This window comes from Homo sapiens, chromosome 18, assembly GCF_000001405.40.
Source record: "Homo sapiens chromosome 18, GRCh38.p14 Primary Assembly".
Taxonomy (NCBI): domain Eukaryota; kingdom Metazoa; phylum Chordata; class Mammalia; order Primates; family Hominidae; genus Homo; species Homo sapiens.
In genome coordinates, this window is record NC_000018.10 from 73,768,166 (window position 1) to 73,793,056 (window position 24,891).

The 24,891-nt window shown below is 39.5% G+C and overlaps 1 long non-coding RNA gene across 1 annotated transcript in view; it reads left to right on the top strand.

The window, feature by feature from the left end:
- LOC105372191 (uncharacterized) overlaps positions 1-16,613 on the top strand; it is a 28,272-nt gene extending 11,659 nt beyond the window's left edge. The window contains exons 3-4 of the long non-coding RNA XR_935622.3: positions 5,926-6,069; positions 16,318-16,613. This is a non-coding gene — a long non-coding RNA (uncharacterized LOC105372191). The remainder of the gene's footprint in view (positions 1-5,925; positions 6,070-16,317) is intronic.
- Positions 16,614-24,891: the final 8,278 nt, after the last annotated feature.

Genomic DNA, 24,891 nt, shown 5'->3' on the forward strand with positions numbered 1-24,891 from the left:
TGTGCCCACCAGTGGTTTACACAACTGGCAACAGTTGGCAGTTGGAAAGCAGCCAAGAAAAAGTGACGTGAGTGCCACTAACCGACCCTGCTAGACAGTGGCACAGAGCAGCATTAGAGCCACCTCAAGACAACGCCCCTGTGTCCCAGCCCCAGCTAAAGCATGGCAGACAAGCAAGACAGCAATGGAACGAAACGTGCTTGAAGTGCTGGCCACAGGCCTGGTTTATGGAGCCACATGAGGACCCAGTGAAGCTCACCCAAGACAAATCGATGTCTGTCAATGCAGTGCCCACAGACAGCACCAGGACAGCATGCCCAGGCAGAAGCTCTGGCGGCAGTGCTGGCTTCATTTTTCTCAAATTTCTGGACAAAGACACCCTCCAATTTTGAGCTCCAACTCCTGGACTCAATTCCTGGCCTAAAAAGGCAGGAATCATAAGGAATTTCATCCATTTTCAAATATCTTGTTCATAATGTCCTAGGTACTAATTTATTAGGAGAGTTTGCTTTTCCTTTCTTATGCTTTTTGGTTACCTAGTCTGTTTAGCTTTGTCTCTCTTTCTTGCGGAGCTAGCTAGAGAGAGGTCTTAAAAGCAGTAAGTGGTAATGACTGTAATAGATTGAGCTGCAACTATCTGCCTGGCTTTCATATGCATTGCATTTTACTCTCCCAATAATAATCTGCTTAAGCCAGACCAGGACAGTGGTGATGAATTAGAAGGAGTGCTGTGAAATCTCAGGCTTCATACCCCATCTCACCATGCTGCATTTGTATTTATTACGCCTGTAAATGGCCGGAGTATTCTTGCATTTTAAACACAGCCTTACTCTTGAACTAAACCTCACCCCAAGCCATCTTTGCATTGAGATCGTCTCTACACATGCTATCCTCTCTACTGGAACAGAGTGCCAAAGAATTTTATTAAATGGACCAACTCTGGCAGAAACTACCAAACAGAAAATGGCAAAGGATACCCTTAGCTTAATAAAATGTATTTTAAAGCACGGTTACTATTTACTTGATAGATGATTTAAATAAAACTTTTGTTTATTAAGTGGATATATTTTTTGAAAATTTAACTGGATATTTCAAATATTTCAACTGTAATAAATAAATACAGAAAAATCTGTGACTAAAGTTGTTCCAAGCAAAATCCATGTTTTCGATTTCATAACTATCTTAAAAATGCCACATCAGGCCATGTACAGTGGCTCACACCTGTCATCCCAGCACACTGGCAGGCCGAGGTGGGCAGATCACGAGGTCAGGAGATCGAGACCATCCTGGCCAACATGGTGAAACCCCATCTCTAAAAATACAAAAATTAGCTGGGCATGGTGGCACATGCTTATAGTCCCAGCTACTTGGGAGGCTGAGGCAGGAGAATAGCTTGAACATGAGAGGGAGAGGTTGCGGTGAGCCAAGATCACGCCACTGCACTCCAGCCTGGCAACAGAGCAAGACTCTGTCAAAAAAAAAAAAAAAAAAAAGCCACATCATTAAGATGCCTGACCTGATTAGTGAATTACCAGATTGATTTTACAAAAAAAAAAAAAAGTTAAACCTAACTGTGGCTATTTTCTGTACACAGAATTGATGTTTATCTAAATATTTTTCTTGAAGCAGTCATGTGTTTAAACATGAATGAATTCATGAGTTTGGATTCCTCCACCACAAAGTCACAAAGTACTTACTGCCTAAACCATATCTGTGGGTATGAAAACCTTTTCTGTTGCTGTATTTGATCGATCCTCTGAAAGGTAGTGAGTAGAGGTGAGTATAGCCTTTATATCACAAATCAAAAATTTATTTTCAAGGAAGAAACATGACCAGATGTCTCAGGGAATTTAGGCAAAATTAATTAATAGACAGCAACAATTTTCAAATTCCTTTATAGCTATGCCCACCAGTGTTATGGACATAGCTATCAAGGAATCAGTGGCTGACCACTGCTGAGATTTTGTCCTGGTCTAGACACTGAGGCAATTCCTTATCATAAGTTAACTCATGAAATTCTCGCCACAACCCCAGGAGTGGGTTTTGTGGTCCTTGTTTTACCAATAGGGAAATCCCTGCTGGAAGACAGGAGGAAGATGGGTGTAGGGAGGAGTCACCTATCCATTGCAATCCAGTGTCAGAAGTGCCATCCAGGGACCACACCACTTCAGTAATCCTCCAAAAACCCTGGTGGACAGAAGAGCTGCCAGAAGACTAGAGATGGCAGATGGGTCCAGATAGGGAGAAATAACACAGTTCAGAAACTACAGGTCAGGAAGATGGGTGCTGACACTCAACAAAGTTTTTGGAGCGATTTTTAACAGAGTGTTACAAAGTTTAAAAGGTGTTTACTAGAAACCACAGTGATTTATTTAGTAAAATCATTTTTAAATAGTTTACTACATTGGAAAATATGGAGACTATCAAAGAAACTATGTAAATTGATTTCAGCAAGACATTTGGCCAAGTTCTTTATATTATTGGATCTTATGAGGAAATGTGGTTTGGAAAAATATGTGAGTAGATTTATACCTGGCTGAATAAATAAAGGTATGGAAAATTATTCTAATCAACCTGTCGAGGAAGCTCCAGAGAGAAGTTGCTAGTAGGATAAAGATACAGGAATCTTATTAAGTGTCTTTTAATATAAATCCTTGTTAAACTTGCAGCTGACACAGGCTAGGATAGATGGCAAATGCCTCAAATGACACAACCAGGATTCAAAACAATCTTTATAGACATAAATGACGGATTGAAACCAGTAACGTGACATTTAATAAGGATATGTGAAATCTTCTTATATATGATGGGAAGGACTTGAACAAACATTAATTTCAGTTGGAAAAAAATCTATTTTGTTTTAGTTTACCGTAAGCTCAAAATGAATAAACAATATGTCACAATAATGTTAGTATCCTCCAAAAAACAATATCAAAAAAAGGTAGCAAAACTTTACTATGACAAATGCTATTTCCATTGCATCTGGATTATTCCATTCTAATTTGAAATACCTATTTTAAGAGCAATATCAATCAACAAGTAGATTTTCTCAGGAGATTGTGCTGATGAAAGTTCTGGAAACCCTCCCACAAGAAGGATGGTGGAAATGGGGATGAAACATGTTAGTTGCCTTCAAATATTAGAAGAATTGCCTTCCTCACTCTTGTTGCTGAGCTCAATTTTATCGCCTTCATTTCTCAGCCTGATAACTTCCTCTAGGAAGCTTAACTTGGTCCCAGTCTCTTCCTACACAAATTGGAGATTAGGTTAGGGACCCCTCCTCGGTGCTCTCAAAGCACAATGTCCTTTCCCTCGGCAGGTGCTTTTGAGACTGCATTCTGATTGCCTGAGATGCCCTCACACACACTGGACCACATAAGCTCTGTGAAGACAGAGGCCCAGGTCTCCCTCTCTCATCCAGTGCAGTGAAATGCTTATACCAATGAATATTCTATTTTTCAAGAGAAGACAAATCTAAGACCAAGTAGGAAAGTAGCACGAAAGAAAAAAAAAAGCTCAAATTAAAGAATTTTCTCTGTTCTTTGCCTGCCCTCCTAGACTGAGACACCCTGCCTCCTCTGACCTTTTGGGCTCAGCTCTGTCAAGGCTCTGTACCTGCCTACATTACGAATGAAAATGGGTTTGGCTCTTGGGACCCCAGCTCCAGACAGACCTAGTGTGATACTGTTGCGTGCTGCACCCTGGACAATTTATAAATTAATGAGAGAATTTTTCTTTTTTTCTTGAGGCAATTCCTTAGAGGAATATGTGTTCTGTCTGAATGACTGGCACTTCACATTCTGAATCTAAATGCTTCTCTAGGTATTGAAATTTAAAAGGATTAGTGAACCCATTTACAAAATGCTGTATTTGGCATGTCAAAAATAAAAGAATATTATTTGTTAAGAACTAATAGTTTCTTTCAAAAACGCACACTTCCACTTTGTAAAAACCTTTAGGGCTAACAAAGAATACTAATGAAGTGTGTGGATCAGAGAATGATTTATTCAGAATTTTAGATTATCCTGTAAGGTTAGAATCCAACAGAAATTATTTACATATGTAATCTCTTAACCTATATTAACATAATAATGAGAATGCATTTTATCAGTAGTTTATGCTTCCCAAACACATCTGGGATGTACCTAAGTCTCTCATGTGAGGGTTCTCTTCCAAATTTAACTTGTAAAGAGATACATGTATATGTATGTGTGTATTTGTTTGTTTTTTAATTTATTTTTTGAGACAGAGTCTCACTCACTCTGTTCCCCAGGCTGAAGTGCAGTGGTGTGATCTAGGCTCACTGCAACCTCCACCTCCTGGGTTCAAGCGATTCTTCTGCCTCATCCTCCCAAGTAGTTGGGATTATAGGCACCTACCGCTGCACTGAGCTAATTTTTCATATTTTTAGTAGAGACAGGGTTTTGCCATGTTGACCAGCTGGTCTTGAACTCCTGACCTCAAGTGATCCACTCGCCTCAGCCTCCCAAAGTGCTGGTATTACAGGCGTAAACCACTGTGCCCTCTCCCTGCTCCCATGTATTTATGTATATTAACATCAGTCAAAATTCCCCATCTCAAAAAAAAAACTTCTTAGTAAAAATATGCTTCGTCCATTTCCTTTCCATTTGCTTGAAATGTAAAGAATTCATTTTGTACTGGACCCCCAAAGGCAACTGGGAGAAGCGCATTTGAGAGATTCCATTTGGGGTGATCCTGCAGGTCACACAAGCATCGGTGCTGTCATTTCTGACTCAAATGTCCTCTTCATGGCAGCCAGCCAACTTCCCTACAAAGGTCACTCTTGGGCAGGGATTGGGAAGCATTAAAGAGCTTTAAAAAAGAGAAGATAATTAAAAAATATCCAGTTCATTTTATAAAAGCCTACTAAAGTCTAATAATAAAATGTCTAGATTATAAATTGTGGGATTATCTTTTGCAGCAAACTGTATTCCAAACAATATAAGGAAAATAAACTGCTTTATCTGCATTTAATCTCTACACAATATAAACTTTTCAATTATCCTGAAAGTACACAGGGATTAATTTTTTTATCTGAAAAAAATGCATTCTCTGACTGAACTATGCTCATAAAATGCTGTGCTATGTTTCGTCTTTAAAAATTAGGTCAAAATTTATTTGCTAAGAATGTTAACCCATTAATGACGGAGACCCTACAGTATCCCAATATCCTATCACTGTCACAGAAAATGTGACATTTTAATTAACTGTAATGTTCTGAGAGTCAGGGTTCACTTGATGGTCATCTGCGTTTAATTTGAGTTCAAATTGTGTGAACCTCCCTGTAGTGCTCCTGTTGGTATTATTAAAGGTGATCACATATTAAGGGAGTTTGGGGAGTTATTTGTAATGTCTCTTCTCAGTGTGAGAGCTTTTATTTCTCATACATTCAAAAGGCACTCAAAAGGTTGGAAAAGAAAGGCCCTACCAAAACGTTCAACTCATGCTGCTTGTCCAGGTCATTTACAGGCAGAATATGTAGACTTCTGCTGAAACTGTGCAACAGCCATGAAACACAAGAGTTGGACAGGAAAACACTTGCAAGGCTGCGTTTCAAAGGACTACCATATAGGCCTTCTTAATTCTGCAGCTCCTGCAGGAATCCCCCAGCACACAGGATGATACCATGGGAAACATTTTTTCTAAGTGAATGGGTATTCTTTAGAATACTCATTGTGGAAGCTATACCGTTACCCAAATGAGGCTGCTATTGTTCCACATATATTTAAAAATTAGCTCAGAAGAATATCGTTATGGAACAGCACACAAACCACATAATAAAAACATCAGGTTCATGACTTTTATTTGCTCAGTTTTACAAATCCAAAACAATTCTGTTTGGCTTGATTGTTCTCATTATTCAGTACAGTTGGTTTTATTGTGATCCCTCTTGTGTCTTTCCAGACCTCAAATTCCCTCTCCGATGGTGAATTTTTACTGTCTCTAAAAATATTCAAAAAAGAGTGTCAACAATCTGAGGGTCATCCCAGAAACTCCATGTCATGTTCTGAACCGAAACCTCTCCAGAGAAGCATGCCGCCACCCAAGGTGATTGTTTATAAAGGGACATTGCTTAGTTTGATGTGCAATTATAAGAGATAATTAAGAAACTAATTTGCCCAAATCTATAAAGGTAAATAAGTTGCAATATTGAGTGAGATTGGATGGAACTTCTATAATTTCTAATGTTACCTAATATAGTTTATACCGTATCCCTAATGAGTTTGTTTTCCAATAGTACGGTGAGTAGATGATCCCAGCCACATAATGATACTTAATTATTTTGGAGACCAATGCCTAAGATATTTGACATTATTGGAAAGAAAGTGCAGTTTCAGAATTTTCTCTGGCTTAGTGCACCAGTATTTCAGTTCTAACAAAAGTGGTGAGATAAAGCAAACCAACAAGGAACGGGTAGATTCCACAAGGGTAGAACAGAACTTCATCAAAACCTTCTTTTCTCATAGATTAATAAATCAGACTGTACAGAGTTGTCAAAATATCCTCTTTCACTGTTTCAAGCTGCCCTATCTGGGAAATTATTCATTATTATTATGATGGGTTCTTAAATTATCCACATCTTTATTTCTGATTAGAAGTGAAGAAAAACTAAACTGCAAATGAAAGCAGAATTAGGTTTCAAAAAAAGAAGTTGGAAGATGCAAGGAAAGAGAAGCCGTTTTTTCCATGTTGGAAAGAGGAGTAGAGCAACTGCTGTAAGTGGCATGATTGAGAGGCGCGTGTGTGAGAATACACGCCTCCCCCCGGGGCCGCCGCTGTCTGGTTCCACATCCCGTGCCGTTGGATTTAGAGCCTTCAGGTCGCCCTGCTTGCTCCTGGCAAACACCCGACCCTGCAGTGCCATCTAGGTAGGAAATGTTCCCACACAGCAACTCATTCTGCTTCCAGTCTCAGCTGCCGCTCTGCTGGCTCCTACCACAGTCTTGGCAGTCATGTCCTAAAACTATTTTTATATACCGTATCACTTTTCGCGAATTTGTTTTTGAGGAAAAGTGCATACCTGGTGCTGAAGTTTGATCTGGCCAATAAATCATACCATATCTATGTGGGAATTTGGCTAGTAAACCCGGGAAGTGTACTAGCAATCCAGGAAAGAGCCTGAATAGGCTAGGGAGGTTCGTTGTGGGAGAAGGAATAAAGAAGAGATCAGGAGAAGGCACAAGGGTCCCCTCCCTGGGTCCTGGTGTGGATTGTGCAAATGTGTCCACCTGCTGAAAATGCATCACACTTCACACAATTCACTTACCCTTTTTTTGTATATAGGGTATATTTCTCCTTAAATATGTTCTATGGTATCAGCATTTTCAAATATTTAGTAATAACAAAAGATAGGAACTCTCCTCCAAGAGAAAACTAAAGAGTTCCATTATAAAATATTAAAGAAGACTTATGGAAATACAATTATATCATGCTCTTGGCTGGGAATACTCAATATTGTAAAGATATCAAGTCACCCCAAATTCATTTGTACATTCAATACAGTTCCAGTCAATATTCCAAGCCATCGTGTGCACGTCTGTGTGTGTGTGTGTGTTTATGACTTGATCAGGCAATATTTTATTCATTGGGAAAAAAAGGTAATAAAAATCCAAGACTGTTTTGAAGAAACAGAAAAACAAGAAGGTGGCCTTGCTGTCCCATATCGAGATTGGTCAACAGCATGTGATACTGCTGCAGAATGGAAGAGAAGCAGGGCTCTGCCTCAGTCCCAACCCTACATGGTCATTTGATAGAGGTTTGAGAGGTTTCACTTCAGAACAGTTTGGTAAATGATAGATTTTCAATAAGTCCATCATTAAATTAATGTATGATGCTGCTGTGGTTTGAATGTGTAACCCTTTCTGTAGAGATTTAATAACCAAAGTAACAATATTAAGAGGTGGGACCCAAGGAGGTGATCAGGGCACGAAGGTTCTGCCCCAGCACATAGATTAATGCTGTTATTGTGGGAGTAGGTTCATTATCAATGAGACGTGTTCCTTATAAAAGGAGGAGTCCAGACCCCTCCTGCCGCCCTCTCACCCTCTCTTTGCCCTTCTGCCATGGGATGATGCAGCAAGAAGGCCCTTGCCAAATACCAGCTCCTTGATCTTGAACTTTCCAGCCTCCAGACCTGTGAGCCAATAAACGTCTGTTCTTTATAAATTACCCAGCCCACGTATTCTGTTAAAGCAACACACCATGTACGAAAAGACATACTGTAATGTTTAAAAATGCATATAAAAAATAATTTTTTTTACAATTTACCCAGAAATTAACTCCAGATTGAGTATTGATCTTATATGAAAAGCAAAACATTAAAGCTTTTAGAAGATAGTATGTGAGGATTTCCTCACTATAACTTCTACCCAGGAAAAGATTTCTTAAACAAGATCTAAAAAGAAGCCACTAAATATAAAAGAAAAACATGATATGTTTTACTACATAAAAATCAAGAAATCCTGTTCCTCGAAAAAATCTCAAATGAGTGAAAAGATGAGAGGCTTACAGGTGGAGAAACTGAGTTCCAAGAAGTTAAATAAGTTGCTTAAAATCACACAGCAGTAAAAGATGAGACAAAGAGGCAAACCCAGCTCTCCAGCATTTCTGCTTTTCGCCCACACCTCAGAACTGTCACGAAGTTCCCTTTAAAAGAGCTGGGTTGTAACATTGGGTCCATCACATTTCACTATGTTTATTTAAAATCTACTGAGTGCTAGCAGCCTTAGAAATGGCGTTCTAATAAACTCAGCATCATGTTCAGACAGCTGATTCCTCAATTCCTTAGAAATTGATCCAACACGGCCGGGCGCGGTGGCTCACGCCTGTAATCCCAGCACTTTGGGAGGCCGAGGCGGGTGGATCATGAGGTCAGGAGATCGAGACCATCCTGGCTAACAAGGTGAAACCCCGTCTCTACTAAAAATACAAAAAATTAGCCGGGCGCGGTGGCGGGCGCCTGTAGTCCCAGCTACTCGGGAGGCTGAGGCAGGAGAATGGCGTGAACCCGGGAAGCGGAGCTTGCAGTGAGCCGAGCTCGCACCACTGCAGTCCGCAGTCCGACCTGGGCGACAGAGCGAGACTCCGTCTCAAAAAAAAAAAAAAAAAAAAAAAAAAAAAAAGAAATTGATCCAACACTATTTTCTTAAAACTCTCAAGATAGGCTTGTGCCACTGGTCCACAATGGCATACATAACATGTTTCTAAACTCTCATAAAAATTATTTTCTTCATTTTCAGTCAGGAGGCACTAAGATTGAAATTCATTTAAATTTGATAAAGGAAGCCAATTTTTATCACCCTAGACTGTATCTTACAACATTCAGTACAGGGAGCACTATTTCCTGCATTAACCTTCAGTCAATGCAATCTTCACATCCTGAGAAAGCCCATATCCACCACAAGAAATTATATTCGTTACAAATGCACTGACATGCTAAGGCAGATCTTTAAAACCAGCAACTCTGCAAACATACTGCAAGGGGAAAGAGGAAGAAAATGGGAAGAAAAAGAAGGTTGTGAGTTAATTCTTAATGGAGCAAGACTCTTATTCTTTGGGCATATTTTTTAAATTGTATAACAATACCAAACATGTTCAAGCAGAGACAATCAGTTTTATTCACAAAGATAACCCATAAATCAGTTACAGTGTGTTTGGAGGAGTCAGTGAGGGAGTGCTTCAGGAATCAGCCTTTATTGTCTGTGCCTGACTCTGCCTGAAGTTAGTAATAATATGGAAAGGCCTTTTGTGCATGTGAAAGAAAATGAACATCTTGATTACTAACCAATGCATGTCTACCTTGGAGATGCCTAGGATTAGATTTAACACAAAGATAATATCAGAATACAATGGAATTCATGTAGAGGGGCAAAAAGATAGTTAAGTAGGAAAGAATTTAAGAAAAAAAATGCAACAGAAATGATGACATCAGACTTTTGGATACATTTTTACAGTCTGAATTTCGAAAGGAGTGTTTCCTCTGCAGCTTTATGAAAAACATATTGTGCAAATGTTGATATAACAAGGGACAATTTTATTAACGGTGACACCAGAAGTAATTCTGGAACTTCTGTTTCCTGACAAGATGAGTACATACTTACCCCACTCCCTTTTCCAGGAAAGTAGGTAGATATCATACCACTTTCTCCATGTGTATTCAATTTGGGTGTTTCCAGCAGCAGAGTTGAGTTGTTGAGTTACATGTATATATTTCTGATTTCGAGCTGGACACTTAGGTTTATGAAAACCTGTCTACCCCAGGGCTTAGTGTTTAGATACAATGAGACATGATTGTCAGATATGAGAAGCTGGGGACAACGGAAGCCAGATTGCAGAGCTACAACAGGGTCCCTCAATATAAAATTTTGTGACAAGTCAAGAAACCTTTGGCATATAAGATCGGGAGTTATTCCTGGGTACAGCGATACCAGGCTTTTCCCAACCCATTCATTTGGCAGAATATTTCTAGACATGGGGTAATGAGGTGACTGTGTCACTGCGGGACACACCATGATTAAATGTAATACAGAAGGAAGGATTCTTCTCCCATCATGGAAGTGTTGTGGCTTGGGAGGATCATTGAATACGTTACACAGGAAAAAGGGCAGCAGTAGCATCCAGGGTGGGAGAAAGAGTTGGCTGGATCAAAGCGGTGATCGTGCACTAGACCAGTTGGTTGACCTGAGCACCAACTACTGCCCAGTGTTCCTGCAAAGTTCAAACTCCCATGGCAACGCTGGTGGCAGAAGCACCTGCAGCAACCCAGACCATCAAGTCTGGGTCACTTATTTGAAATGTGACTTTGTGTGATGTTTAAAACTTGGGCTTAGCTAGCCATACCTAGTGGTACATGAAAGAGCTACATTATGAGATGCTCAATACTTTAGAGCTCAAACCAGAACCTTCTGTACCACAAATGATCATAATGCCAAAGGGCATTTCTACTTTCCAAGAGAGATTAACCAATAAGTGACAAGGGGGTAATTTCTCAAAGAAAATGAGCTTAAAGCTTGGGACAGAGTGCTTCTAAATACAGATATGAGTCTCAAAGGATGCTCATGGCACATAAAACACAGGACTTTTCACAGTCGGGGATGGGGGAGGTCGGGTCTCAGGAAATCAAATTTTGAATACCTGTGTTCACCAACTGGTGAAGCCGAGAACTTCAGGGTCAGCAGGTTGGGGAAAGCATGCTATTTATGTGTGGTGAGCCCATTTTCACTAGGGAACCCTCCCATCCCTAGGGCAGAACAGAGACACCAGGACACCTTGCCATTCTTCTCACAGAAAATGGCCACAGATACGTGTGTTCCAGAGGCTGCCCCAAGCACCTGGCTTTCTGTCTCTGACCATCCACTGGCATCTGCAGACTTCTGCATGTTACTGCTTTTCCTCCCTCCAAAACAAGAAATTTGTGGACAGATTGTTATTGCCCTCCAATAGTAGATGTATAGACACACAACTCTTCTTATTTCACATACAAGAAGTGCTTTTTAGAACCAACACTATTCAAAAATAAAAAGTGCTTTTTGAATATTAGAGAGAAAGAGACAGAGAGAGACAGAGAGAATATGAACTCTTCTGTTCTCAGTAAATCTCAAAATAGAAAAGCAACCTTACCCAAGTTTACCATCTGCTGGCTGGTGACCCACACATAAACAGATGGCATTATTGTTCTTGCGTCTGGAATCCAGTAGATATTCACATCACAAGAGCTATGGGCACTCCAGGTAGAGGAGATAAATACAGGCTGTCTACTGGTCCCCTCCTGTTCAGAATCTTTGCCTTCCAGTGAACATAGAACATTTGATGGAGAAAGTAAAACTTACCCATATATATTCTGCACATGTTTTATGGGCGAAATTATAGACTCTAATTTGAAGTAATAAAAATCCAACCTTTTCTGAAAGGTCTAAATTCAACAAGGCTGATGAGAGAAGTATAGTCTTGCAGAGGAAAAAAATCAATCTGACGAGCAATAAAAGCTTTGCCACAGAATATCTATCTAGATTATTATTTAATTAAAAATAGAATTTGCTTTAAACTACAGACTCTTTTGTTCATTCCAGTGATCATTTGAAGTCTGAATGCAGGAATCTTCTTATTCTCCCAAGTTCTTTACACTCCCCTCCCCCTTTTCGGCATTTCATTAAAATCCCTGAGGCATTTGACGCTCCCTCTGCACCTGCCTGACAAACCAACCCTACCCAGGACAAAGGGTCTTCAGGAACACCTCCTGGAGTTGCAGACCTTCTTTTTCCATTACAACAAAACTTCTCTCTCCTCTAGGCCCACATGGTGGTTAAGCCCAAACTGATACGCGGTTTACAATAGAGCATTCCTGATGTGTAATGGCGACGTGGGTTAATTGCTTAGAGAGTATTTGTTTGTATTTTTCTTGAACATTATTGTTCAATGTGCGCCAATGACTCTGAAGTCACTCAGTCTGCCCTCAGATTCCACACAGGTATAGGACCTCAGCATTTGATCAGGCAGTCGTTTCTTCATGTTAGGCTGCCAGGTGTTAGAAATATTGGGTTGATAACTTATTTTTTATTAATATTTGTTTTATTTATGGTATTACTTACAAGTAATTGTAAACATTAAATAGTTAAAGAGCCCTAAGAAGATTATAACAACAACAAGAAAGCAGCATTCTTTGTCTCCTGAGTGTCCACTTTATTCTTTTCTCCCGGAGGAAACCACATTCAGCATTTTCTGCTGTTACCTCCTCTGATATTTCCAAATGACATATATATATACAAAAATTATTTTTTTCCATAATTGTATACAGTATCAACACAACATTTCATAAATTGTGGATTTTAGTGTATTTGGATGCTCTTTTTTCTCTTTAAACTTTCAATATAATTTTATTTTTAATTAACCCAAAATTAATACTTATATTGTTATATACACATAATGATGTATTGCCAGTCAAAATGTTTATATTTTCATTTTTATGCCACTTTTGTTTTGCCTACATTTTGCCTACATTGCCTACATTTAATATGGGTATCATTTTATCTTTTTTAATTTTTTTGAATATTTACTGTCGACATCCTGTGACACTATTCTTTCACATGATCAAATGTATCAGAATATTCATCAATTCCATTTTCTTTCCATTTCTCCCATTGACTTCAATCTGGACTGGCTGCTTTCTGGGCAGCTGCACGGCTGTTGACCTGAAATTTGCTTTGCTCTCATTAACAATTCCATTTCCATCTCTTCTATGTTGTATTCTCTGTTCCCTAGAGCCCACATCTATCTCTTTCTTAGATTTTCCACCCTTTGTTTGGTTGAAATACATCTTCCAGCAGCTTCCTGAGAAAAGATGCACAAAAAGTAAATTCTTGACATTTTTTACACCTCAACGTTTTTTTATTCCATCCTCAGTCCTGAAAGGCAATTTATTTAAGTCTGGAAGTTTAGGTTGAAGATAAGAATTTTGAAACTGTTCTTACTTTATCTCCTAGATTCCAGTGTTACTTTTAAGAAATCAGATGTCTTTCATTTCCAGGGTTTTTGACCTGTCTCTCTCCTCTGGAAGTTTTTCAGACCTTTTTCTAATCATTGTTCTGAAATATATAGTAATATGACCTGGGATGGCTCTTTTACTCATTGTGCTGGACATTTATTGAGTTATTTCATTATGGAAATAAGCTATCTTTGATTCTAGGAAATATTCTATTACTTGTTTGATAATTTTTTGTATAATTTTCTGTTTACTCTTTCTGGAGCTCCTCTTAGATATTTGGACCACCTGTATTGAACCTCCATTTCTCTTACCTTTTCTCTCCAATGTCTCTTTCTATTTCTTTTTACTCTAAAACCTGAACACTTTTATTGAATATTACATTTAGGCTTTTCCAAATTTTTAAGAGTTCTCCTTTGTTGTTTGAATGTTCAAAAAACATCTTCTTTCTTCATGAATGGATTATCTTTTTCATCTTTCCAAGGGCATTAATTATGATCTTTCTGAAAATTGTTTGTCTCACAATGTTCTGAGTTTCTTTTTCCGTTGATTTGGTTTTTGATTTAGACATTTTCTTCCATCACCCCTTGCATATCTGACGATCCTTGTTTTTCTTTTTATACTTAAAGATGGAGCACCAACATGCTGACTGGAAGTTGCTGGGGCAGGCAGAGTTGTAGGTCAGTGGACAACTGTGTGGCACACAGGAGTGACTTTTATTAGGGACAAGTCATCAATATCTAAGACTTTTCTCTGGAATGTTTCATCCTCTCCAGAGGAGGATGTCCCTACCTCTTACCTAGAGAAGCATCATCCGACTATTTTCTGGCACTGGGTGGAGAAAGAAAATGCAGACTGTACTTAATGCCCCCATTGTCCTTCGGTTCTTCTCACCAACCCACAGCTATTCCTGAGATGACTGTGGGATCACCACACCCTCCATGACCCTGCTTGCCACGTGCCTCTTTCCAAGGCTGGGATGGCAACCAGCTTGTTACTGTAACACCCACCCACACGGCCACCTGACATGTACAGTTCGTTTTAAGTTTCATCAATGGTAGATCTTGTGTTTTCTGTTTCTGTTTCTTTCTTTTTTTTTTCTTTGACAGTCTCGCTCTTGTCACCCAGGTTGGAGTGCAGTGGCATGATCTTGGCTCACTGCAAGCTCTGCCTCCCAAGTTCAAGCTATTCTTGTGCTTCAGCCTCCTAAGTACAGGCATGCATCATCACACCTGGTTATTTTTTATTTATGTATTTTTATTTTTTGTAGAAATAGGGTTTCGCTATGTTGGCCAGGATGGTCTCAAACTCATGGCCTCAAGTGATCTGCTCTCCTCCTCAGCCTTCCAGAGTGCTGGGATTACAGGCGTGAGCCACTGCACCCAGCCCTGTTTTGTTTCTTCTTGTATTTTGGAATGATTTTTGAGAAAAGAAAAGAAAGATAAAAAATATCTTTACTGTACCACATTGAAACCTTAAGGCAACGTAATTTTTATTTACGTTTGTCTTTTTAAGTCAGTATAAAATTTGTTATTAATCATAACCTACTACCTTTTTCTTCTCCTAAAGAAGCAAATACATGGCCTTCTTGGTGTAAATATTGATTACATCTAAGTATTCAAAGGTTCAGGGCTATACATCATTTTATTAATTGGAGCTAAAGGAAAAATTCCTTAAGTAACACCTGTTCCCAGGCCAGCTTGTTACCATCAAATTAAAAAATATAATATTTATCTAGTGGATGTTTCCATAAAGAACATTCAGAAAATTTCTGACTGACCTTTAAACCTGTGTGAAAAATTTGGGTCTAGTTTTACTGGAATGTCTGTTTTAAAATGGCTCATTTATTTAACAATAATTCCATTTTCCACTCCCATCACCGAGCAGCCCTGGCTCTTTATATCTGTGATGTGTGAAAGTGTGACTTCTGCTGAGTGAAGGCTGGAGCTCCCATCACAGGCGCGGAGTAACATTGTAACCAAATGAGTGACAATATCTAAAGTTCACAGTTTAGAGCTGTGTTCCTCTGTGAGAATTTCAGACTCCTGACAAATAGTTTTTAATCATGAATTTTATTTGAAAGTCTAGGATATAATCAGATTTGTACTTTAGATCATAATATACATTTTTTAGAAGAGATTATTTTTAAATCCTAAATCTCCCATGCACCTCTAATTCATGTAACAGCAATGCCACACTATGGCCAGGAAAAAACACTCAAAAAAAGTGATGTTGAGGAGAAATGGAGAGATGGAGTCACTGCAGCGAGTTCAATACAGCTTCTCAAGCTTTACTGCAGGAATCATAACAAAGTAATTTATATTTCAGCTTTTCACACACACAAAAAAAAAAATAAAATAAAAGTTTTCTAAGCTCTCTCCTTTCAGCCAGAAATCTATGCGACTCCAAACATGGAAAATATTTTAACTGAGAAAAATTTGCTATTCTTTACTTGTTTTAAGATAAATTAAAATACTTTGGTAGCCATGCAATTATTCTTGAGATTTCCCTCAGTAATTAAGCAAAATATAGGCTTTAAATGAAATGATGTAAAGGTAATAAACAGTGTATTATAAATGTGAACTCATTACATTTTCAGTGTGTCTATCCATTTAAGATGTGAAAAATATATGTTATGAGATAAATGAATAATAGCTATGTCAAGGAGTCATAACATAATCAAATATATTTCAAAATGAGAAATTCAAATGTGTATTATAATCTGTATCCTAAAAACATCTACTAAGGCTATTCCTTTAATATATAGTTTCTATTTTGTTCCCCTTCTACTTTTATTCTACTTTTTTATTGTCTTCTAGGCAAGGGCAAGTGCTGGCAGGATCAGCTCAACTGCGGGCAGAGCAAGAGGAGCCTAAACTCACAACCTCCTCCCAAGGACTTAACACTATTTGTCAGTTCTCAGGACTATGAGCCTTCCAAAAGAAAACATTAGGCCATTGTCACTTTCAAACACAATATCCCCATATTTTGGAGGAAATGGGGCAAGCAGGTAAATATGGAGCCTTTGGGGAAAAAAAAGGAAAGAGAAGAGAATGTATTAACTATGGGGTATTAAAATATAGAAATCCACATTTTTACCCTGCTTCCTAAGAGATTCCGGTACAGATGGCATGAAAACCATGTATTAGTTCATTCTCACACTGCTATAAAGAAATACTTGAGACTGGGTGATTTATAAAGAAAAGAGGTTTAATTGGCTCATGGTTCTGCCAGATGGACAGGAAGCATGGCTGGGGAGGCCTCAGGAAACTGACAATCATGGCTGAAGGGGAAGGGGAAGCAGGCACATCTTACACGGCCATAGCAGGAGGAAGAGCGGCGGGGACGGGGGGAGGTGCTACATGCTTTTAAACACTCGTATCTCAAGGGAACATTTACCGCAAGAACAGCAAGCACCAGGGATGGTTGCTAAACCATCTGAAACTGCCGCCTGATCCAACCACCTCCCAGCAGGCCCCACTCCCAGCACCGGGAATCACAATTTGACATGAGATTTGAGTGGAAACACAGATCCAAACCATATCTTACCAATTTTGAAAAATACTGGAAGATGGGAAATATGGAATTAAAGAAACATAAGATGAAAGAAAAGAGTTTGAAGTGATGAAAGATGGAATGAGGCAGCTGGACACATGGGTTAAGAGGAGGAAAAGTAGGAAAGGAGGAGGGGAAAAATAGACATTTGATGTGGTAGAAAAAAAAACAGATGGAAATGGAGATGTCATAATAAAAATAAAATTCAATGTTTCACAATGCTTTTTGGCCCAGCATACCTGCTCTTTATTTATTATGCAACATTTTGACCTAAGCATTGTATTACCGACCTAGAAGATATTAAACTGTATCTACTGACTAACCACACAAATGCTTGACCCATAACCCATTCTCTAAGCAGTTTTCTCTTGTGTAATAATCTTCTCTACTGAAATATAAACAATTTTTTAATTCTAATGGAATTAATGGCAAGTGAACAAAAGAAACATCAAATTATAAAAACTTTAGCATTGCTAAGTGCAATTGTTAAAATGACTTTATCTTGATATTGATAGCTGTTATTTTTTATATTTAGTTTTAATATGTAAATCTCTAGTGATTTCTACAACCATAGAATATGAGGGTTAATGCTGAAGAATGCCAGCCCCACTGCCCAGCCTGCAATAGCACTCAACAGCACAAGCATCTGAGCCCAAGCTGAGCACAGCACATCCACACATCTCAGATGCCTCCCCTGAACCCCTAGGTGCTCTCCCTGCACCCAAAAGACTAGCCCAGATACTGCCTGTCAACCACAGAGAGACACACAGATTTTGATTCCCCAGCAGGAAACATTATGATGGCAATTAGATGTGTCAACTTGGCTAGGCCATGGTACCCAGATATTTGGCCAATCACCAGTCTGGATACTGTTGTGAATGTATTTTTTAAAATAAAATGAACTTTTAGTTCAGTAGAATTTGATGAAGGTAATTTCAAGTTACCTTCATCCAATCAATTGAAAGTCTTAAGATAGAAAGATGGAGGTCCCCTGAGGAAGAAGGAATTCTGCCAGCAGACAGTCTTCAGGCTGGAGCTGCAACACCAGCTCTCCCTGGGTCTCCTGACTTCTAGTCGGCTGGATTTTGGATTTGCCAACCCCCATAATCGTGTAAGTCAATTTCTTAAAATAAATCTCTGTGTGTCTATTTGTATAAACATGCCCATCCTGTTGGTTCTGTTTCTCTGAAGAATTCTGACTCCTACAGAGATGCTGGTTTTCAGCTCTATACACCTGCCTGCTCCATTCCTGAGCATCTTCCATTAGGGCCAACCAGCTGCACTGGGTTCACTTCCCTGCATGGCTGTAAAATTTGCTCTTGATGCTCAAACATTGGTTCTAAAGTCTTATTTTAAATGAGAGCTTAGAAACTTTTCAATCCAATCCTGTCATTTTTATTTGAATGAATGCTCACTCAGAGATGAATGCACCTGCCAGGGTCTTGCTAGAAGAACCTGGCGGAGGAGCAGTGAGAATCCCCTCCCTAGCTCTGAGGTCTTTCTGTTCCTTTGTGTTGTCCAGTTCTTCTTTTCTCACGTCTGCCTTGCTTCCACATGACATGTTAAGCTTTCATGCTCTTTCAAACTCTAGTTAACCATACAAAGGCACCAGGTTAATCAGATGAATGTTTTAGATATTGGGTTACTAATCCTAATAGCTTGCTGGTAATATTTAGGGACATAGGGGAAAATCAGGGGCTCTCTCCACTGCAAACATGAAAAATCTTATTATAAAGAAACATGGGGCCAGGCATGGAGGTTCACACCTGTAATCCCAGCATTTTGGTAGACCGACGTGGGTGGATCACTTAAGTACAGGAGTTCGAGACAAGTCTTGTCAACATGGTGAAACCACACCTCCACTAAAAATACAAAAACTAGCCAGATGTGGTAGCACATGTCTGTAGTCCCAGCTCCTTGGGAGGCTGAGACAAGGGTATCACTTGAACTGAGGAAGCAAAGGTTGCAGTGAGCTGAGATCACACTGCTGCACTCCAGCCTGGGTGACAGAGCAAGACTCCATCTCAAAAAAAAAAAAAAAAAAAAAGGAATCATAGTTACTGTCTGGTTTAGATTGGTCTCCCCAAAATCAGAACTTGACTTTTGATTTATGTAAAAGTAATTTATTCGAATGTGTCCCCAGGAAGAATCATTGAGAGTCGGGGAGGAAAAACTAGACCAGGAAGAAAGGTAGGCCTAGCAGTGCTGTGATGGCAAGAAATTCCCTTGGAGGGTGACCTTAGCTTAGTAGCAAAGAAGCCCTAAAGACAGAGCCCCCTCATACCTGTGACTCATCTCTCTCAGGGCAGGGAATCTGGCATAGAGATACCTCCATGCACATCAGTCCTTAGTTGAGGAGGGTGTAATTAAATTCTCAGTATCTGCCAGAACTCTATTCATGTGGTAGTATCCTTCAAAGAGCTGCAAGAGACAGCTGCTGAGAATTAAAGGACAGAAGAAGCGACGTGCACAAAAGTGAAAAAGGCATCCTGACGTGAGGGTATGAAGGTGAGCCCCTGCAGATTCAGCTTCACTCTCTGATGACTAGATCAGAGCAGACTTAGACAGTGCCTGGAAAAGGACACAGAGTCCCCTGGCCAAGTCCAGACTACCCTGATTGGGGAAAAAACACATATGCCACAAGAGTTTGCCCATCTGAGATGAATTATCAATCTGGAGTGATAGCAAAAAGGAGAGTCGGAATGACAAGACTGTCAGGGTTCCTCCGTGCCGGTCCTGAATTACTAACTCACCTGAGAAGTTTACCATCTTGGGGCAGAGATGGAGACATCAGCTTGACAACTCATGCCTCTGCAACAATTCAGTCAAATCTTACCCTCACTCTGTTCTCACCAAGCAGCCTCTGAATTCCAATGTGGCCTCTTAAGGGGTTCTGCCTAAAGTGACAGAATATATAAACCAACCAAAAAAGACTTTCAGTCATCTTCACAGGAATATTTACCTTCAAAAGAAAGGAAATTTGCATTCTCATTTTAACCATTAATCTATATAAGTGTGGTCAATGCATGTCTGCCCCTGAAGACTTGGCCCTTTCCCTAGGCTGGAGGGCTTTGAACTTGACACCCCACATTGACTTTAGGTTGTCAGCAATGTCCCATCATTGGGGCAAGTTCAGCCAACTCTTGTTTCTGCAGGAACTCATCAAATAGTCCCAATATTCTTGTTGGAGTTTGAACTGTGATGACCTTTTCTCAAGTTAGGAAACAATTAAGGAATTGATGCAGGAATTGGGGAACAAAAGGTCTATTTTTGGCAATGCTGGATTGGAGAATAAAGCTCAGCTTAGGTGCCAAAACGGATGTTGGCCACTACGCTGGAGGTGAACTCACCATCTCAGGTATAGAAGGCACATGGGGAGTGCCTGTGGGTGTAGGGTCAGCCCTGTGGGGCATATGGAAAAGAAATGAGAACAACTTCATTGTGCAGTTGGGCTCCCAAGGAAAGAGAGGGGCACTGTTCTGTGGTGGGCAGGTCTACAAAAACCTACTCCCGAAGTCCAAGGAAGCTGAGAGGCCAAAGAAAGAGGCTAAAAAATTCAATTTCTCAGAAAGAAACATTTAATAGGAACTTATAAACAGCAGCCACTTCCATGTCTCAGACGGCAGCGAAACAAGATGTTGGATCCCTGCACTACTATCCCCCCTGGCCCAGGGCGTATACAGCACAGGAAGGTATAGTGACTCGGAAGAGATCTGAGAGACAATTGCTCCAAGACAGGACTTATGGTAGCATCAAGGTTGTTTTAACCTATGGTCAGGATTTACAGTAACTACCTTTTCTTACACATGGAACAATAAGCTGGAAACCTTAAAGGAATTCCTGGAACTGGGGCTAATCAGAAGACAATACGGTAGATTAGCAACCAAGATGGAGCTGCTTTCGCCTCCACAGGCACAGTGAACCAACAATTAAATCAGTCACTCATTGTCTGATGAGGAAAAAACAGGGAGGGGATGGAGAAAAGAAGCATTGGAGGTCTCCCCAATGCTTCCCAAAGAAGCACAAAAACTCATTTTATGGTTCAAGGCAAAATAGGAAAGAGAGAGAGAAAAACATATAGTACCCTCTGTAATGCCAGCACTTTGGGAGGCTGAGGCAGGCAGATCACCTGAGGTCAGGAGTTTGAGACCAGCTGCCCAACATGGTGAAACCCGGTCTTTACTAAACATACAAAATATTAGCCTGGCATGATGGCGTGCACCTGTAATCTCAGCTACTCGGGAGGCTAAGGTGGGAGAATCACTTGAACCTGGGAGGTGGAGCTTGCAGTGAGCCGAGGTTGTGCCACTGCACTCCAGCCTGGGCAACAAGAGTGAAACTCCGTCTCAAAAAAACAATAAAATAAAATAAAAAATTATATATATATATATATATATATATATATATATATATATATATATATATATATATATATATATGTATATAAAATACCCATGACATAGTAGTTGTCAGTCTGGCAAACTTTCTGTATGTACTAATTTACAAGGAAAACACCCAATACTATTTTTGTATTAGTAAGCTTTTCTTTAATTTAATGATTTAGAAGATAATTTGTATCTGTGATGTCTCTTAGAGGCCTGATAATCATTCATAGCAATGTCTATATTCTATAATTCTAAAAACTATAAACCTCAACTTTATGGTTTCTACAATTCTTAGAACTTTATGATTCTAAATCTTTATTGAAATCTTTACAAGTTCTAAATCATTACCAGTAAAAAACAATTCTCTGGATATAATTTAAGAGTCTGTGTGTGGCAGAAGGGAATCTCTGATTTCTAAAAATAAAAAGTTAGCTGAAAAATTCTAATCACATATGTGTTTCTTTCCTTCTGGTTCAGACAAGTAGAAGTGCAAAGCCTTACCTTTATATTCCAATTGAGAAAAACTAGGTATCAATTTAGCTCAAGTTATAAATTGTAGTCTGGAAATAAAGCTAGATGTCCTGTTCTGGATACAGCACTAAAGCCTGTCATAGCTCACACACCCAGTGTTGCAGAAGACAAAGACCAGCAGTAAGTAGGAGAAGCCAAAAAGAGAGATCAGGTTAAAGACAAAAGTCAGCTATTCTTCAATGCAGTTACTACACTAGATAGCAATAAAAACAGACTGTAAAAAAGAAGAAAGAAGATGGTTTAGCCCAAGCTTGAGCTTTGGAAACATTTCTCACAAGGCCCCAACCATTTCTCTTGACCTATCCTATTAGAGAGGGATTAATTAAGAGAGAAGCCTTCTTCTTACATTCCAAGAAAAAAAATTAAAAATGCCATCAGGGTAATCCTTAACATCTCTAGCTGGTGCCTGTGAAGACAGTCATTCATTCATTCACTCATTCATTTATAACATCCTATGAATTAAGCTTTATAAAGCAAGAGTAAACTTCAGAGGAAAGCAAAACATTCATTTTCAAGGCAGAGTTAATCCCAAGAAAAATAATCAAACCCATGGGGACTGCCTTCAACGCCCCATCTCTGGCATGACTTTCAGGACAAAGGTGCCTCTGTTCCACCAGCCAACAACCTCTGTTTTGCAACCTCTCCACTGTCAAAACTTGTTTTAGGAGATGATCTGATGAATACATTCTCATTAATGTAATGCATAGTAAGACTAGGCAGTGAGTAAAGCTACATGCATTAACATAGCCATGAGTGTTTGCATTCTAACCAGGGGAAAAGCCTCAAGCAAAAGAAAGAAATCACAGTGGCATTTCAGAAACCAGGTAGAGCAGTAAAGATTTAGCATGAGAGAAATTCTAAGAAAACCTCAAAACAAAGTTTATAGACACATACTCAACCTGGAGGATATAGATAATGTACATCAATAAAGCCATTGTCCATGTAAACCACGGGGCATGGTATGGGTTTCTCTAACCGCTGCCTTCCTAAAGGTCAAAAAATAACTCTGAGCCCATAAGGCACTGCTATTCCCCATCAAGAACCTCTCTTCTCAACAAAGCACCTCACAATGACTGTTGCCCTAATAGCCATTGTAATTTATTCCTAGCATGAGAAGAACATCTGCAATCGATTATGTGCAGACATTTCAGTGATGTTAATGTGGTCAAAAATAACCAAAAGGCATATAAACAGATGAAGACCTGCTATTTTCATTTCAAATAGGGATTTGATTCTTGGAGAACCACTAAACAGCAACAACCACAAGGGTTTGTATTTATGTGGACCAATTATAGACTCATTTGTAGAAATTGGGAAATGGAAAAGATGGGCCAGCACGTGAATTGCTTTGCATAATGATAGTAATTTTTGTAAAGGTGGAGGAGGAGAGGCTGGGGAGAGAAGATTTGGTATCAATCTTGAAATAACTATCACCTCTCACTTTAAAAGCCTTGAAACTCAGTGGCATAACCGGCTATTGAAATTTTGCCCTCCATGCTAGATTTTGAGTAATATCCCCTTTAACCTTCTCAGGATTGATGAACCAATGTGACTATGTATGCAGATAAATGTTCAGAAGTTGTGAGAAATCACTTCACCTTGCATACAATGGCAATCCCAGGAGACCTACCCGGTGCCATGCAGTTAATCACAGCATCTTACCACAACTGGCTGGATTTCTAATGGCAGTTCTCACACTCTATTTGAGGACTCCTCCTCTTTTTATTATTTGGGGGAATTGGATTAGAAGGATGTCAAGAGTCACATTTTCAGCTGATTTAAGAGTTTGTGGAATAAGTCACTAGGAAGGACAAGATGATTGAGGATTAAGGCAATATTTTTGATAAGTTACAGCTATAAAACCTCACTGCAACCCAAACAACCCTAGAGGAATGGAATAGGAAAATGAGAAGGATTCAAAATTAAGTCTACTTCAGATTCTTTGAGACACCAGGTTTCCCAGACCCTATTCCCATCTTAGAATGACAAGAATCAATGGTCAGAAAAATTGCCTTTATTGCTAAAGAATGCTTAACCCAACCTGTGAAATTATCTGTATTATCTATTTGAATTATTAAGGTCTTCAGGCTTGGATGAGAAAAGTCGTATCTCTGTTGATATACTGACTTCCTTTCCTTTCCGGTTCAACAAATAAGAATCTCAGTCTCTTAAACATGAGCATGAAGCTTGTGTTTATATAAGATAAAGGTCATTATTTAATAAAGATCATCCCAAGATCCTCTCCCTCTGAACAAAAGGCACAGGAAGTCATTCATCACATTCTGTACATAATACAGGAATTCTCTTAATAATTGCTTACATCAAATATTGATCATCAAATTCTCTCCTCCTTTTCCTCTACTTCTTCCCCTGTGGACCATCTTTCTCGAAATGGTCCTGTGCCTCATTCTCTCTGTATATGAGCATCCACCCCAGGTGTGCATCCTCTGTTAGCATTAGGCTTGCTCTCCTGTTCTTGATTCACCTTCCATAACAGCGTCCACTTCATCCTGTGGGTATTCATTTTTTATTGCTGCTGTACCATAGAAGCTACAAACGTGGCAACTTAAAATAGTGCAAATTTCTTATCTTCCAGCTTCTGTGGGTCAGAAGTCTGGGCAGGTTTAGCTGAGTCTTTGCCTAAAGGTCTCACGATGTTCTCTGAATTAGAATCAGATTCCAAGTTCAGTTGGGCTGTTGGCCAAATTTAGTTTTTTGCAGCTGTAAGACTGAGGTCTCTATTTCCATGCCGGCTGTCAGCCAGGGGTCCATGTTTGCTCCTAGAGGATGTGGCTCTCTCTAGCAGTGGTAGGGTGAAGCCCTCTGACACTTCAAGTCCCCCCAACTTCCCTTCTCTGGCATCTCTCTGACTGCAGAGCTCATGTGATTAGGTTACAACCACCTGGAGAAAGCAGGATACTC